This window comes from Homo sapiens, chromosome 20 (genome assembly GCF_000001405.40).
Source record: "Homo sapiens chromosome 20, GRCh38.p14 Primary Assembly".
NCBI classification, from domain to species: domain Eukaryota; kingdom Metazoa; phylum Chordata; class Mammalia; order Primates; family Hominidae; genus Homo; species Homo sapiens.
In genome coordinates, this window is record NC_000020.11 from 22,509,837 (window position 1) to 22,524,190 (window position 14,354).

General features: G+C 44.0%; 1 long non-coding RNA gene across 4 annotated transcripts, besides 1 other annotated feature; it reads right to left on the reverse strand.

Moving 5' to 3' along the window:
- Positions 1-263: 263 nt before the first annotated feature.
- Positions 264-14,354, reverse strand: LOC105372564 (uncharacterized). 4 transcript variants are annotated; one of them, XR_007067727.1, is made up of 4 exons: positions 14,117-14,354; positions 13,512-13,779; positions 10,588-10,884; positions 264-963 (listed from the first exon to the last, which is right to left on the reverse strand). It is a non-coding gene; the product is annotated as an uncharacterized LOC105372564 (long non-coding RNA). The 4 variants fall into 4 exon arrangements; XR_937343.3 differs by lacking the exon at positions 264-963 and adding an exon at positions 5,408-7,171; XR_937341.3 differs by having other exon boundaries at positions 13,512-14,354.
- Positions 2,909-3,410: an enhancer, noted in NCBI's record as "H3K4me1 hESC enhancer chr20:22493383-22493884 (GRCh37/hg19 assembly coordinates)". NCBI's record gives its function as "activates a minimal SCP1, AML or CMV promoter by ChIP-STARR-seq in naive H9 embryonic stem cells {active_cell/tissue: H9 hESC(naive)}" and the evidence as "EXISTENCE:reporter gene assay evidence [ECO:0000049][PMID:30033119]".

The window sequence follows — 14,354 nt, forward strand, 5'->3', positions numbered from 1 at the left end:
AGAAGCTGAAACCCTTTTACAATGGCTGGTAGGAAAGTAAAATGGTGCAGCTGTTGTGGGGAACGGCTTGGCAATACCTCAAAAAAATTGACATAGGATTACCATATGACCTAGAGACTTCTAGGTATACGCCCTAAAGAACTGAAAACAGAGACTCCAACAAATACATGCACATGCTGTTCACAGCAGCATTATTCACAAGTCAAAAGGCCAAAACAACTCAAATATAAAACTGAAGGAAATATTCATGAACATACACTGTATTCATATAACACGTATTTAATGTTAGAATACCTTACAAAACATATAACATACACCGAAATTGGAATTAAAGGATGAGATTAAAAACATGAAGAAACGTGTCTTTCCTAGAATCCCCAGTGGTGACCACCAATCTGCTCGAATGCTCCCACAGTGACTTCCCTTAGCCTGGAAATTTCAAGAGTTACAATCTGAAGAGATTCTTCCACTCCCACCTTTGCTTTAATTCCTGGCTTGAAAGAAAATTTAAATTTAAGGACAAACTTTCTTGTGCTGCTGTTTTTAAGGTGACCGTTTTGTTTCCCAAATTTCCTCTGGAAAAAGAACATTCCTTCAACAAGGTCTCTCTTTTCTAAGGAGAAAAGGATCAAATACAGACCCTCAAACCGAGGCTCTGGTGCTAGTTCGGGGAAACAGACACATGCACGGTAACCATTTCTAAACACAGAGCTGTTTTCAGCTTCATATTCCACAGATCTTGAAGTATTCACACATCTTATGCAGTATTTCCTTTTGGTTAAGCTTAGCCCCTTGGAAAGATTAAGAAAGTCGTGTCCTAAGAGTCCCGGGGAGGCCGAGATAACATAGTGAGTGGAGTCCAGCCTGAGGTCTCCTGTCTGCTAGGCAGGGATTTCAGGGTGAGTTTCAAGGACAGCTTCCAAGGCTGAGTGGATTCTTGTGGTCACCATTGCGAAGGTGTATCTGAGGTAATTGAAATTACGTTAGCATGGTGACATATAGAAAAAGAATATGGGGACATTTTACTCCTGAGCATGAGGGAGAATCGCTGAGAGCCAGGCAAGGTGAAGAAGAAAAAGAGAAATAATAAATTCTCGGCTGGGCACAGTGGCTCACGCCTGTAATCCCAGCACTTTGGGAGGCCGAGGCGGGCAGATCACGAGGTCAGGAAATCGAGACCATCCTGGCTAACACGGTGAAACCCCGTCTCTACTAAAAATACAAAAAATTAGCCGGGCATGGTGGCGGGCGCCTGTAGTCCCAGATACTCGGGAGGCCGAGGCAGGAGAGTGGCGTGAACCTGGGAGGCGGAGCTTGCAGTGAACCGAGATCGCGCCACTGCACTCCAGCCTGGGCGACAGAGGGAGACTCCATCTCAAAATAAATAAATAAATAAATTCTCAAAGGAGACTTTCTTTTTTTTAATAAAAACCATGTATTGGATCAGTTATCTTCTCAAATCTCTAGTCTAAAATAATGTGGGCAGTTTTACAAGGAAATACATATATTGGACCATATGAAATGAACCGTCAATATTTGTTATAAATCTATGAAAACATTAAGTTCAAATGGTTTCGTCTAACACCTATGTAATATAATCAGTAAATTCCAGGTACTGTGCGATTTAGGCAGAGTATATGTGTGTATATGTGTGTGTGTGTGTGTGTATGTATGTACATGCACGTGTGTATATATTTTGTAGAGTCCAGGGTCTCCTGTCAAACTTCTGGGCTCAAGCGATCCTTCTGCCTCAGCCTCCCAAAGTGCTAAGATTACAGTTGTGAGCCACTGCACCCGACATATGCAGAAAATATCTTACTGCAGTATAAAACATATATCTGAGAGGAAAAGAACAAGAGAGAGAGGTTTCTAACTTAAACACAGCTAACCAAGGAAAAAATAAAATCAACATTTGAATGAATATTGAAATTCTCTTAAAAAAAGACAAATGAGGGGGAAATCACATAAGCAAGTAAGGTTTCACACACATGGTGCTCTAGAAACTAATCAGTGGACAGATTCAGAATCCATATCTCCCTTTCCAAAATGTTCTCTGGCAGAAGTCATTCTGTAGGACAAACTGGAATCAAAAGAGTTATGAAAATTGTACAATGGGATGAAGGGGCTTCCCCTGTTGGGGAATAGATAGCTGACATGCTGGATGGGGCCAGGGTTCAAACAAAGGCCCCTGTTGAGTGGGAGCAGGTACAAGACAGATGGTTTGTTAAACATTGCCAGCATGCTTGCGCAGTGCCGTGCGGCGGTCAGAGCCTGGATAATGGTCACCAGGGCATTGTGTAGCAGCGCATTGGCTAATTTCAGCCCAGCTAAAGCTATTGCTTATCTTTGTTGGTTTTGCAAAGATTAAGGCAGTTTCTCTGCTTTGAATGCACCACAGCTGCCCAGCAAAGCATTCCTGAAGTTTTGTCTGAATTCCCACTGCTAAGAGGGGCCAAGCAAAAGGTGGCTCGTGCAAGGACTTGTTTTAAGCTCATATGTGAAGTTGCTTCTCCTCAACTAATCTGGACCACTCTTGACTCTTACTTCTGGGCAAAACCCTCTAGAGTTACAGGGGCCTTCTTTCTCAGTGAGTCCTTTCCTGTGTGGTTCGAAATGCATCTGCTGGGGATTTATATTTCCTAGATTTATATTTCCTATTGGGATTGATTCATTTGCTACTTTTGTGGAAAAAGGTAAACACCATTGTAAATTCCATCCGGTGAATCATGGGGAGGCGGTGGTTCCAATTAAACGTGTTTGCTTTCGGAAGGGGGCCCTTGGCTTCTTATCTTTATGTACAGAAGAAAATAGAGCTCAACCGGGCCTCTGCAGCCAATGGAAACGCACCTGGCCCAGTCAGCTGCTAGGCTGAGTCTCTGCTGCTCTGGGCTCCAACTCGCTCCTCTCGGTTGTTTGCAGACAAAGGGAGAGTAGCTGCGGGTCATGCAGAGGGGACAGTCCCCTTGGCTCTGCCTATAGTCCCAAAGCAAAGCAGGGGGTGCAGCTACTATCTGGGTATGTTAGGAAAGGGTGATGGCTGATCGGTTTAGTATTTCCAACAGTTCAAATGTCTTTATCTTCTTTTAAAGGTAGTGCATATCTATCCCCACCTAATTGAACCAGTGCTGTATTTACTTCAGGCAGCCCCCTCTGCCTAAATTAGATCATTTCTAGCTATAAAATCAAGAAAGTGTGCCCAGCAGATTAAGCCCTAAAAGTGGACTTGTTAACTACATCTACAGAAGCAAAGAGAGCAAGAGAATTTTTATATACTCTCCCTCTCTCCCTCTCTCTCTCTTTTCTCTCTCTCTCTCCCTCTCTCCCTCTCTCCCTCTCTCTCTGCCTCTCTCCCTCTCTCCCTCTCTCTCTGCCTCTCTCCCTCTCTCCCTCTCTCTTTCCCTCTCTCTCTCCTTCTCTCCCTCTTGTTTCTCTCTCTCTCTCCCTCTCTCCCTCTTGTTTCTCTCTCTCTCTCTCTCTCATGCATGCACCACACACCCCTACCTTTAGAACTAGGAAACTAATTCGCCTTCCTGGCTCCAGGCCTCAGCATCTCTGCTTAGCATCAGGCATTTGTCATATAGATCTCAAATCAGGAGGCTTTAGTGAGCAGCTAAGGGCTGACAATGTGTCCCAGGGAAAAGAAACCCATAAAGGAGAAAAGCAAAGGTCTGAGAGGTTCACCTGCAAATTCTGGACATTGAAAGCAACTGTACGTCTCCTCAGGTGCAAATAATTGAAATAATACTACTACTCAGGCCATGGTGCAGTGTGCTCACCCAAGGCCCTTCTTGTTTTATTTTATTTTACTACTTTCCCCTGGATTCCCTGTGTGTTCTGGCTCCCAAATCACTCACTCACTTAGGAACCTCCTGGAACGGGTTTCCTAGTTTGGGTTTGGAACCTGTCTAGAAGCTTCTATTGGGAGAGAGAGTGCTGTTTGTGACTCCATGTCGGCAGCTTTCCTTTGATTCCTCTAGTCCAAGGCTGCTATTTTTCCTAAGCCGTTGTCCATCTGGGTCTAAATGTATTGGCGTGTAGAGTTTCACAGACACTTTTGCCATCTCATTTTTCAAAGAATCACATTTTAATGGGGATTTTTGGCAATTTCATTGATTTTTTTAAACTCACTTTATATCTTTTTCTTTGCTTTGGTTTTATTCTGTCATTTTTCTTTTTCTTTTTCTAATATGTTTAGTTATGTCCTTAGGTATGTGGTCTTTCGGTGTCTTGTTTGCTATTTGTGTATTCAAAATTATGTAAAACTTTAAGTGCAACTTGAGAGTTATGGGTCATAAAGTTTGACATTTGACACTTTTGTTCTTATCCAGTTCCAAGTATTTTGTAATATCTTTTAAATTTCCTCTAAACCCCAATGGTTATATACCATACATTATAATGTTTTATGTGTCCAAGAGATGGTCGAAGTGGTTTTATTGCCATTACTGATTTTTTAACTTTATTTCATTATAATCAACACATTGTGTATGTATTGATTACTTGGCATTTACAAAAGTTTTCTTTGTTCCATGGGAATTAAAATGAATATTCTCTGTGGGTGTAAGTTATGTACATCTATTAGATCAGTGTTGTCCAAAAGAAATATAATGCCAGCCACATATATAATTTTATATTTTCTAGAAGCCATATTAAAAAGTGAAAATGCACAGGTGAAATTAATTTTAATAATATTATTTAAGACAATATATACAAAACAACAATTTGAACATATAATCAATATAAAAATATTAACAAGATGCTTTACATTATTTTTCTGTATTGAGTGTTAGAAACCTGGGGTGGATTTAGCTCTTTCAGTGCATTTCAATACAAATACTAAAATTGGATACACTTGATCTGTATTTAGATTTCAATTTACAATTGAAAGAGCAGATTGTTCTAAACATACTTAAAAGTTTTTCAATACCTGAATTAAGTATTAGGTTTTAAAATTTAAATTAATTAAAATTAAATAAAATCTTAAAATTTTCTTGCATTAGCTACACTTCAAGTGCTCAAGAGTTATGTAGCTATCGGCTACTGTATTGGACAATATAACATTAAGTAACTGTTATAATGCTTCTCAAATATTCCAAATTATTGGTAATTTTTGTCTCCTTTGTCAGTGTTTTTTTAAAAGATTTATTGACATCTCTCCTACTATTATTATATCTATAAGACCTTACATTCTGAAATTGTGTGTGTGTTTCACCCCCTGTTTATTTTTTTCCTCTTTCTGGGACTCCTGTTATAGGGAGCCATGTTCTTAACTATTACTTTCCGTCTCAATCTCTTCATCTTGCTGAGTCCTTCCTGATTTGTTCTTCCACTGAATCCACCCTACTATTCAGTCCCTCAATTATGCTCTTTATTCCAACAATTAAAGTCTGTTTGTGGCTGTGTGTTCTTGTTTTGTTTTTCCTGATCTGTTTGAGAATATTTATTAAGCTTCCTTTAATTCATGCCCTGCCTGAACTCCCCTACCATCTCATCTAGTGTGTGTGGCTCAGTTATTGGGCTGGCCCTGACCCTTTCATATCCTCCTGAGCCCACATGCATGTGGAAACACCGGCTGCCTTGGCTGGTCTGACATCCCTGGGAGAAGGAGCAAAGGCCCAGGTGCAGGCCTTGCCTGCCTCGTGGTGAGGATGAGCCTGGGGGATGACATCGGGGTGCGTGGCTTCCATGTTTATTGTGGGCTGGACCTCCCCTGAGTGACCCACCCTCTGTGCCAGGTGACAGAGGAGCTCTGGAGAGCTCCCAGAGCCCTACTCTTTTTCTACAGCTGCCTGCCTTAAAATCATCCCCACCTTGCTTAAGTGGGAGCTCGGGAGGAGAGTGCTTTAGGGCTGCCAGAGTACCAGCTGGTTCAACACCGGGGGACTGATGCTTTGCTGAGGTGATGGGGAAGCTCTTATTTTCTTGAGGGAAGTTCAGGGAAGGAAAAGCACATAACTCCACAACCCCAGCCAGCCTCCCTTTTGGTACCTGGCCCTCCTGACCCTAGGCTATCATTTCCCAGATTCTTTTTCGAGAATCAGCAACCTTCTACCTTCCATCTGTGGCTCACCACATTTGGGTTTAATAAAAGAATCCAACATCTCCATTTTGTTAGTTCATCTTGCCAGGAAAAGCGAACCTCATAAAGTGCCATTTTAAGAATGAAATCATGTCTTTTGCAGCAGCATGAATGGAGCTGGAGACCATTATTCTGAGTTAAATAACTCAGAAACAGGAAATCAAATACTGCATGTCCTCACTTGTAAGTGGGAGCTAAACAATGGGCCCACATGGACATAGAGATGGAAAAAATAGACACTGGGAACCCAAAAGCCAGGAGAGCAGAAGGAAGGTGAAAACTGAAAAATTATCTGTCAGATACAACGGTCACTGTTTGAGTGAAGGGTTCACTAGAAGCCCAAAACTTACCATTATGCAATATATCAACGTAACAAACCTGCACACGTGCCTCTTAAATCTAAAATAATAATAAAAGTTTTTTTGTAAAAAAAAAAAAAAAGAATGAAAGAAAAATAAAATACCATTTTATTTTTATTTACTTTTTTTTTTTTTTTTTTTGAGACAGAGTCTCACTCTGTCTCCGAGGCTGGAGTGCAGTGGCACGATCTTGGCTCACTGCAAACTCTGCCTCCCAGTTTCAAGTGATTCTCATGCCTCGGCCTTCCAAGTACCTGGTATTAAAGTGCGCACGGCCACACCAAGCCATTTTTTTATATTTTTAGTAGAAACATGGTTTCACTGTGTTGGCCAGGCTGGTCACAAACTCCTGGCCTCAAGTGATCCACCAGCCTCAGCTTCCCAAAGTGCTGGGGTTACAGGCGTGAGCCACCACCCCTGGCCAGAAAATGACATTTTAAAACATGTAAAAATGTTGGTGAAAATGCTCAATTCCATATTACTGTATCATTCCAGTCTATTTCCTTTCATCATGTTTTAACCTTCCCAAACTGTGTCAGTGAAATTGGGACAATCAAGGTCTCTCCCTCTTAGAGCTTGGGACGAGTCAATAAAATAAAACACAATGGGCCCCAGCACATAGTAAATCTTCACTTAAAAAGTCACAAGGTCTCTGATCCTCAGACTCCTTGGCCCACACTGACTTACTGAAGGGATTAAAGAGATGCCTCACTCCACGAGCTCCATAAATGCTTCTCTGAAAAAAAAAAAGTCTTAAGTAATCAATGCATCAAGTTCTTAAAGCTACTGATAACACATAACCTCTCACAGTTCACAGTTCAGCTATGTTGCTCACAATGTGTCAATGAGATGTAAATGTGGAAAAACAGTATAATTGCTTGACCCAAGGCTATCGGGCAATTTTCTCTAGGTTCACACCAGCAGCCCTTAATCGATGCACATCCACAAATGGGTGGGAGGGAAGAGTCATCAGGGAATGGCTTCTCCTCATATCACTTCTCAACTTTAGAAATCATGATGCCTGGGGAACCGGGTGTCTGACCTAGGTAGATGCTTTTTTGTGCAAAAAATAATGAAGTAGCCTCAGCTCTGCTAACTCAGCCCTACAGCAGGCTGGACTCTGGTGATATATCCAATAGATATCAAGCTTACAACAATGCTTAGATGTGACTGAGATTTAACAGAGTTAGGAGTCATTAATGGAATTTATATTGGCTAACCTAAAAAGTAACTCATTTAAAGCATTAGAATTTAGGATATATTTCCAATAACTCATTTACTACAAAGACAAGCAAACAAAGCCAATCTTCCACCCAAGAACTTTTCCTAAAATGGGACTTGCTTTGATCTGCGCTGTCTAATATGGTAGCACAAATGGCTAATGAGCAGGTGGAAGGTGTTTGGTCCAAATTGAGATGTGCCTTTTAGTGTAAAATACACACTACATTGTGATGACTTAATATATAACATAATGTAAAATAGGTCTTTGATAGTTTTATATTGATTACACACTGACATAATTTTTGGAATTATTAGGTTAAATAAAATATTATTAAAATAAATTTTGCCTTTTGTCATTTTTTAATATTAATTATATTTCTAGACTTTGGCTATATAAATCACTCTATACTTTTCAAATATTATTTGTTCAATGGAAAGGTGATCTTAACCAGGAGTTTAACAAAAGGCCACATTTCTGAGGCATGTTTCTGAGGCATATCTTTCGTAAACCATTGTTGTTGTTTTTTTAAGACTGAATCTCGCTGTGTTGCCCAGGCTGGAGTGCAGTGGCACGATCTTGGCTCACTGCAACCTCCACCTCCTGGGTTCAAGTAATTATCCTGCCTCAGCCTCCCCAGTAGCTGGGACTACAGGCACCTGCCACCACACCTGGCTCATTTTTGTATTTTTAGTAGAGACAGGGTTTTGCCATGTTGGCCAGGCTGATCTTGAACTCCTGATCTCAAGTGATCTACCGGCCTCGGCCTCCCAAAGTACTGGGATTACAGCTGTGAGCCACCGTGCCCAGCCGCAAACCATTCTCAGACACATAAGGTGACTCCACAGTCAAAGAAGTTGTACCCATTTTTCCATTTATCCCTTAGTAAAGCTACTGAGCACCTTTTGTGTGTCAGACTGTTTCCAGCACTTGCCAGTTTCCAGCAAATAGGAGGCTTGTCTTTGCATGCACAGAGGCAGCCAATAAGAAATAAAAGTAGGAAATAAGTGAATTTTAGAGTATGCTCAAAGCCAATGAGTGCTATGGAAAAATAAAAAGTGGGGAATGAGGGAGGTGTGGGCAGGTGATTCCAACTGTAGCTCTGGTTTTCATTAAGAAAGTGGCATTGAAGCACAGACATGGAGCAGGTGAGGTGTTAAGCATGCTGAGGCTGAGGGGAGAGTATTCTAGGTGGGCTGGAGGCTGGGGATGAAGTTGAGGAGCAGGGAGAGGGTGGTAGATGATCTCAGCGGGGGAGTAGGATGAAGACACAGGAAGTATTACTGGATCTCAGTGAAATGGGGATGACATTGGGTGCTGAGGTGGGGCGTGGCTCAAACCTCCTTACATTTTTAAAAGATGACTACCTCCTTTGTTGAAAATAGAGTATAGGGGCCGGTGTGGTGGCTCATGCCTGTAATCCCAGCACTTTGGGAGGCCGAGGCAGGCAGATCACGAGGTCAGGAGATCGAGACCATCCTGGCCAAAATGGTGAAACCCCGTCTCTACTAAAATACAAAAAATTAGTTGGGCCTGGTGGTGTGTTCCTCTAGTCCCAGATACTCGGGAGGCTGAGGCAGAGGAATTGCTTGAACCGGGGAGGCAGAGGTTGCAGTGAGCCAAGATCGTACCACTGCACTGCAGCCTGGCAACAGAGCAAGACTCCGTCTCAAAGAAAAAAAGAAAGAAAGAAAATAGAGTATAGGTTGGTGAGGGTGAAAACGAAGTAAGCAGCAGGAGGCTCCTGTAATAATCTAGGCATGAGATGGGCGTGGATCCCATTGGTAACATGGGGTTGTGGAAAGTGGCAGGATTCTAGATGGACTTTAAAGACAGAACTAGCAGATGTCTTGATGGACTGAATGTGTGAGGTGTAAAGGAAAGCAAGTGTCTGGATGACTCCAGTTTTGGCCTAAGGACCTGGAAGGATGTAACTATTGGGTACCCACTTTTTGTGCCAGTCAACATTTATGCAGGAACTACAGGAATCCACACAGTAAGAAATGCTCCCTGCACCGAAGGAGTTCACAGCAAAGTGGCAAAGACACATGAGTGAGAATATGCTGCACCAGATATGATAGTACCTGTGCACAGAGACAGGGGAAAGATCCGTCTAACTTGTCTGTGGGGGGCAGGCAAGGGACGTTTCAATTAGGTTGTTTGGGGATGTTACAAATTCATCAGACCAAAAAAAAGAAGTGAAAAACATTCTAAGGTCAAGGAATAGCATGTTCATGTGCAAAGCCCAGTGTTGACAAAGGTAGACTATTGTTTGGGGACTTGCAAGTACAGGGTGGGTGGTGGGTTGCCAGTGGGTGAAGGTCCGGCCTGGAGAGACTTAAAGTAGGACCTGCTCATGAGGATCTGTGCAGAGCTAGGGAGGTTGGGCCTTCTCCTGGAGGCAGGGGAGAGCTATCAGAAGGTTTCGGGCAAGGCAATATGTGATCAAAGTTGTGTTTTCCAAAGATAAGTCATGTGGCTCTATGAGGAATAGACTGGAGAGAGGATACATTAAAGATATATAAAGGAGTTAGGGAACGATTACAATTGTCCAAGGTTTTGTTGAGCTTTAGCTAGAGAGAAATGAGAGTGAGAGAAGTACTAATCAAAGAGACTTTTTTAGGTGTAATTCTTACAAATTGATGTCCACTTGAAAGATGGGCTTTCAAATACGGAAGAAAGAGTACGAAACATAATCTCTCTCATTTCTGGTCTAGAAGCTGTCAGGGGTGCTATCATTAACTGAGATGGGAAAACAGGAGGGAGAGGCACATGCTCCAAGAATGCTGAGTTTGAGGTATCTTAGTTTGAAGCCCCCCAGATGACGACCCTGAAAGAAAGATTCCCTTATAAGGAGTTTGTTTGAAACACTGTGAGGAAGAAGGGAAGCAGGGCAAAGAAGGGCAGGTGCCCCACGAGATTGTGGAGCTTACCGCAGTGGCCCCTGGAGCTCAGTTCTGCTGTGGCTTCTGAGAGATGGATGCAGGGAACAGGCATCAGCACCACTTGCCCAAGGGAGACGGAGCTCTCACCGGCTCTCAGGAAGGCACTGACTTCTGACTTTCTTGGAGGCAGGATGCCTGGGAAATCCTCAGGCGGAAAGGAAGATGCTACCAGGAGGAAACTGGTGCAGCAGCATGTGTGTGGAAGGCAAGTGCCAAGGGGCTGTGTCAAGGGCACTGAGGACATCGGCTGAAGGGGCCTTTGAGATGTATCTGCAGGTTGAGATGCTGAAACAAGGAGAAGAGAATTCACATACGACGTTCCAGTGAGAAGTCAAGCAGGAGGCCATAATTCTGGGACACTAGCATGTTTGGCTAAGGTTAGCATAAGCTTTTCAAAATAATTTCCTTTCTAAATATCCCTTGCTGTGAAGATATCCCCTCTGCAACAGTAACTGGTGTGCGCTCCTCTGCCTCTCCCCAGCAGCAGTGACCTCGTTGAGGCTGAATTGAATTTCTGGACCAACACTTCTCCCTCAATAAAATTTCACTGTGATGGGCAAGAAACCATGGAGTGTTACTTCTACCTTTTCTGAGAGGATTATTTCTAAGATTTTCTTTCTTTCTTTCTTTCTTTTTTTTTGAGACGAAGTCTCACTCTTGTCGCCCAGGCTGGAGTGCAATGGCATGATCTCAGCTCACCACAACCTCTGCCTCCTGGGTTCAAGCGATTCTCCTGCCTCAGCCTCCCAAGTAGCTGGGATTACAGGCACCTGCCACCACACCCGGCTAATTTTTGTATTTTTAGTAGAGACGGGGTTTCACCATGTTGGCCAGGCTGGTCTCGAATTCCTAACCAAGGGTGATCTGCCCACCTTGGCCTCCCAAAGTGCTGGGATTAAAGGCATGAGCCTTGTGCCCAGCTGGGGTTGCTTTTAAGAAATAAAATTGGCCGGACTTGGTGGCTCATGCCTGTAATCCCAGCACTTTGGGAGGCCGAGGCAGGCAGATCGCCTGAGGTCAGAAGTTTGAGACCAGCCTGTCCAATATGATGAAACCCCATCTCTACTAAAAATACAAAAATTAGCCGATTGTGGTGGCAGGCGCCTGTAATCCTAGCTACTCAGGATGCTGAGGCAGGAGAATCGCTCGAACACGGGAGGCAGATGGAGGTTGCAGTAAGCCAAGATTGCGCCATTGCACTCCAGCCTGAGCAAGAAAAGCAAAATTATGTCTCGGAAAAAAAAAAAAAAAAAAAAAAAAAAAGCAACCCCGCTCTATTAAACAGGTAGAGTCCAGCTTTCTCAAAAGTGAAGAATAAATTTTGTCATAGGCTGGGTGGGGTGACTCACATCTGTAATCCCAGTACTTTGAGAGGACAAGGCAGGAGGATTACTTGAGCCCATGAGTTCGAGGCCAGCCTGGCAACATACGGAGACCCCATCTCTACAAAAAAATAAATTTTAGAAATTAGCCAGATGTGGTGGCATGTGCCTGTGGTCCCAGCTACTTGTGAGGCTGAGGTGGGAGGATCGCTTGCACCCTGGAGCACTCTAGCCTTGGCAACAGTGAGACTCTGTCTCAAAAAAAAAAAAAAAAAAATCTGTCATGGACTAGCCTTAGAAACATTCTTACATTCATCCCCCCACTCCCCGCCCCCGGGCTCTGTTGCCAAGGCTACAGTGCCGTGGCACCATCTCCACTCACTGCAACCTCTGTCTCCTGGGTTCAAGTGATTCTCCTGCCTCAGCCTCCCGAGTAGCTGGGGTTACAGGTGTGTGCCACCACACGCAGCTAATTTTTGTATTTTTAGTAGAGACGAACTTTTGCCATGCTGGCCAGGCTGGTCTCGAACTCCTGACCTCAGGCGATCCGTGCGCCTCGGCCTCCCAAAGTGCTGGGATTACAGGCATGAGCCACTGTGCCTGGCCTAGAAACATTCTTCAACTGGAGTTGGAATTTTTGCTTTAGAAGGAAAGCTCCAGAGACTTTATTAAAACAAAAACCAAAAGATAAAGAAAGTTGAGAAGATCCTATGTCCTTCATGGCAGGGGCCAGTGCTATCAGGGATTTGGAAATGGAGTATACAGTGGAAGTAAGCACTCCTGTGTTTTCCTTTGGCCAAAGGCATAAATTCTCAGTCTGTCTTCTATATTTATGAGCCCATCAGCCTAAGAACAATATCAAGACTATGTAGGCATAGAGCTTTGGAAGTATCTGAGGCTCTGGGTAAGTTCTAATATCCTCTCCATGCAGTTGACAGTGTGCCCTGGGATGGGTCATTTGATCTTTCAGGATCTCAACTTCCATATCTGTGCAGTGGTGAACAAGACCCATCTCACAAATATGTCAAGGTAGGATGGGATAGGAAATGGGAAACTGTCACAGATGCGATAAGGCTCTTGACAGTGGAGAAGATGTGGTTTAGAATGCCTTTCACTGTTTTCTCAACCCTGGGTCATTCTTAACCTTCCTAAGGCTCTGGTTGCAAAGTGCAGGCGATGACCCTAACCCTATGAAATGCAGGCCGTTCACTCCTGGGGTCCCATGGCATGTGGCTCAGAGTGACTCAGAAATGCTAGAGGGCCCAGTGGAGTCTTTCTTTCTAGAAAAGCCTTGGATCTTGGAGAGGCCCTGGTCTCTGGTTCCACTTGGACCTTCCACAAGTGTGTAGTCCTAGGTGGGTTATATCACCCCTCTGTGCTTCACTTACTGCATCTGCTTCACTTACTTCTCTGATTCTATGCTTAAGAATCCGGACTTGGCTACTTCATCCTCTTCGTTACTCTGGTTGACTCAGGAACAGGTGCTAGAAGCTTCATGAGCCATGTGCTCCTAATGAGCGCTCACTGCCCGCCCTCAGAGTTTGCCAGCAATCCCAGCCCCAAGCAGCTGACCCTACACCCTAATCTCACCTTCAGCTTTCAGTTCTCCTGTTGGCGAGCCCTGGAGCAGGCGGAAGAAACAGCCATCTTATTGGGTGCCACTTCCCAATGTCAATCGGATCTCCTTTAAACTCAGCTATGGTCTGCTTCATTTTGAACTTAGGGTAAAATTCAAGACAGTTCAGCAAAGAAAATGGATGAAGGACGCAACCCTTTAATTCAGTTCACAACCCCTGAGGGTGGACAGTGGCCAGCCACATGCTGGCCCCTGGAAGGAGTGAAGGAAGTCGAACACTGTCTAGCAAAACAAAGCACATTTGGAAAATAAATGTCATTTAGGATACAACTACCAGGTGCACACTTCTCTTTATGTTTCAGTTCACTCTGCCTTGTACTTTAAGACACGTTTCCTCCGCTACATTGACCCACCTCCCACCTCGGCCGAGGAAAGCAGATGCCACGTAGAATGACGGTGATTCCTGCAAGCTCTATGAGTCAGGGACATATGGTGTCCCCACGTTCCATGTTTACTCTTGTACCTGGAGAGATTAGTCAGCCAGAAGCACAGAATCAGCCTGAATGCCATCTGGCCCTTCCCTGGAGCAGGCTGAAGGTGAAAAGTCAGCCCTGCATACCTTGATAGCTAGGTGAGGGCTGTCACCAATGGGGGTGGAAGTATCATCTCATGTTGTACCCACTGGCAGACTCATTTCTTCTGAGCAAGGGAGAACTGCATTCTGGAGAAAGGACACTGGCCATTCAGGCTGCAATTCGGGTTCCCCAGCCCTCCTGTGCCGTCCTCTTCCCAGCCATGAGACACCCGCTCCTGAAGATCCCCTTTCCCGTGGTCAGCCGGAGGCCCGGGAATGAGTC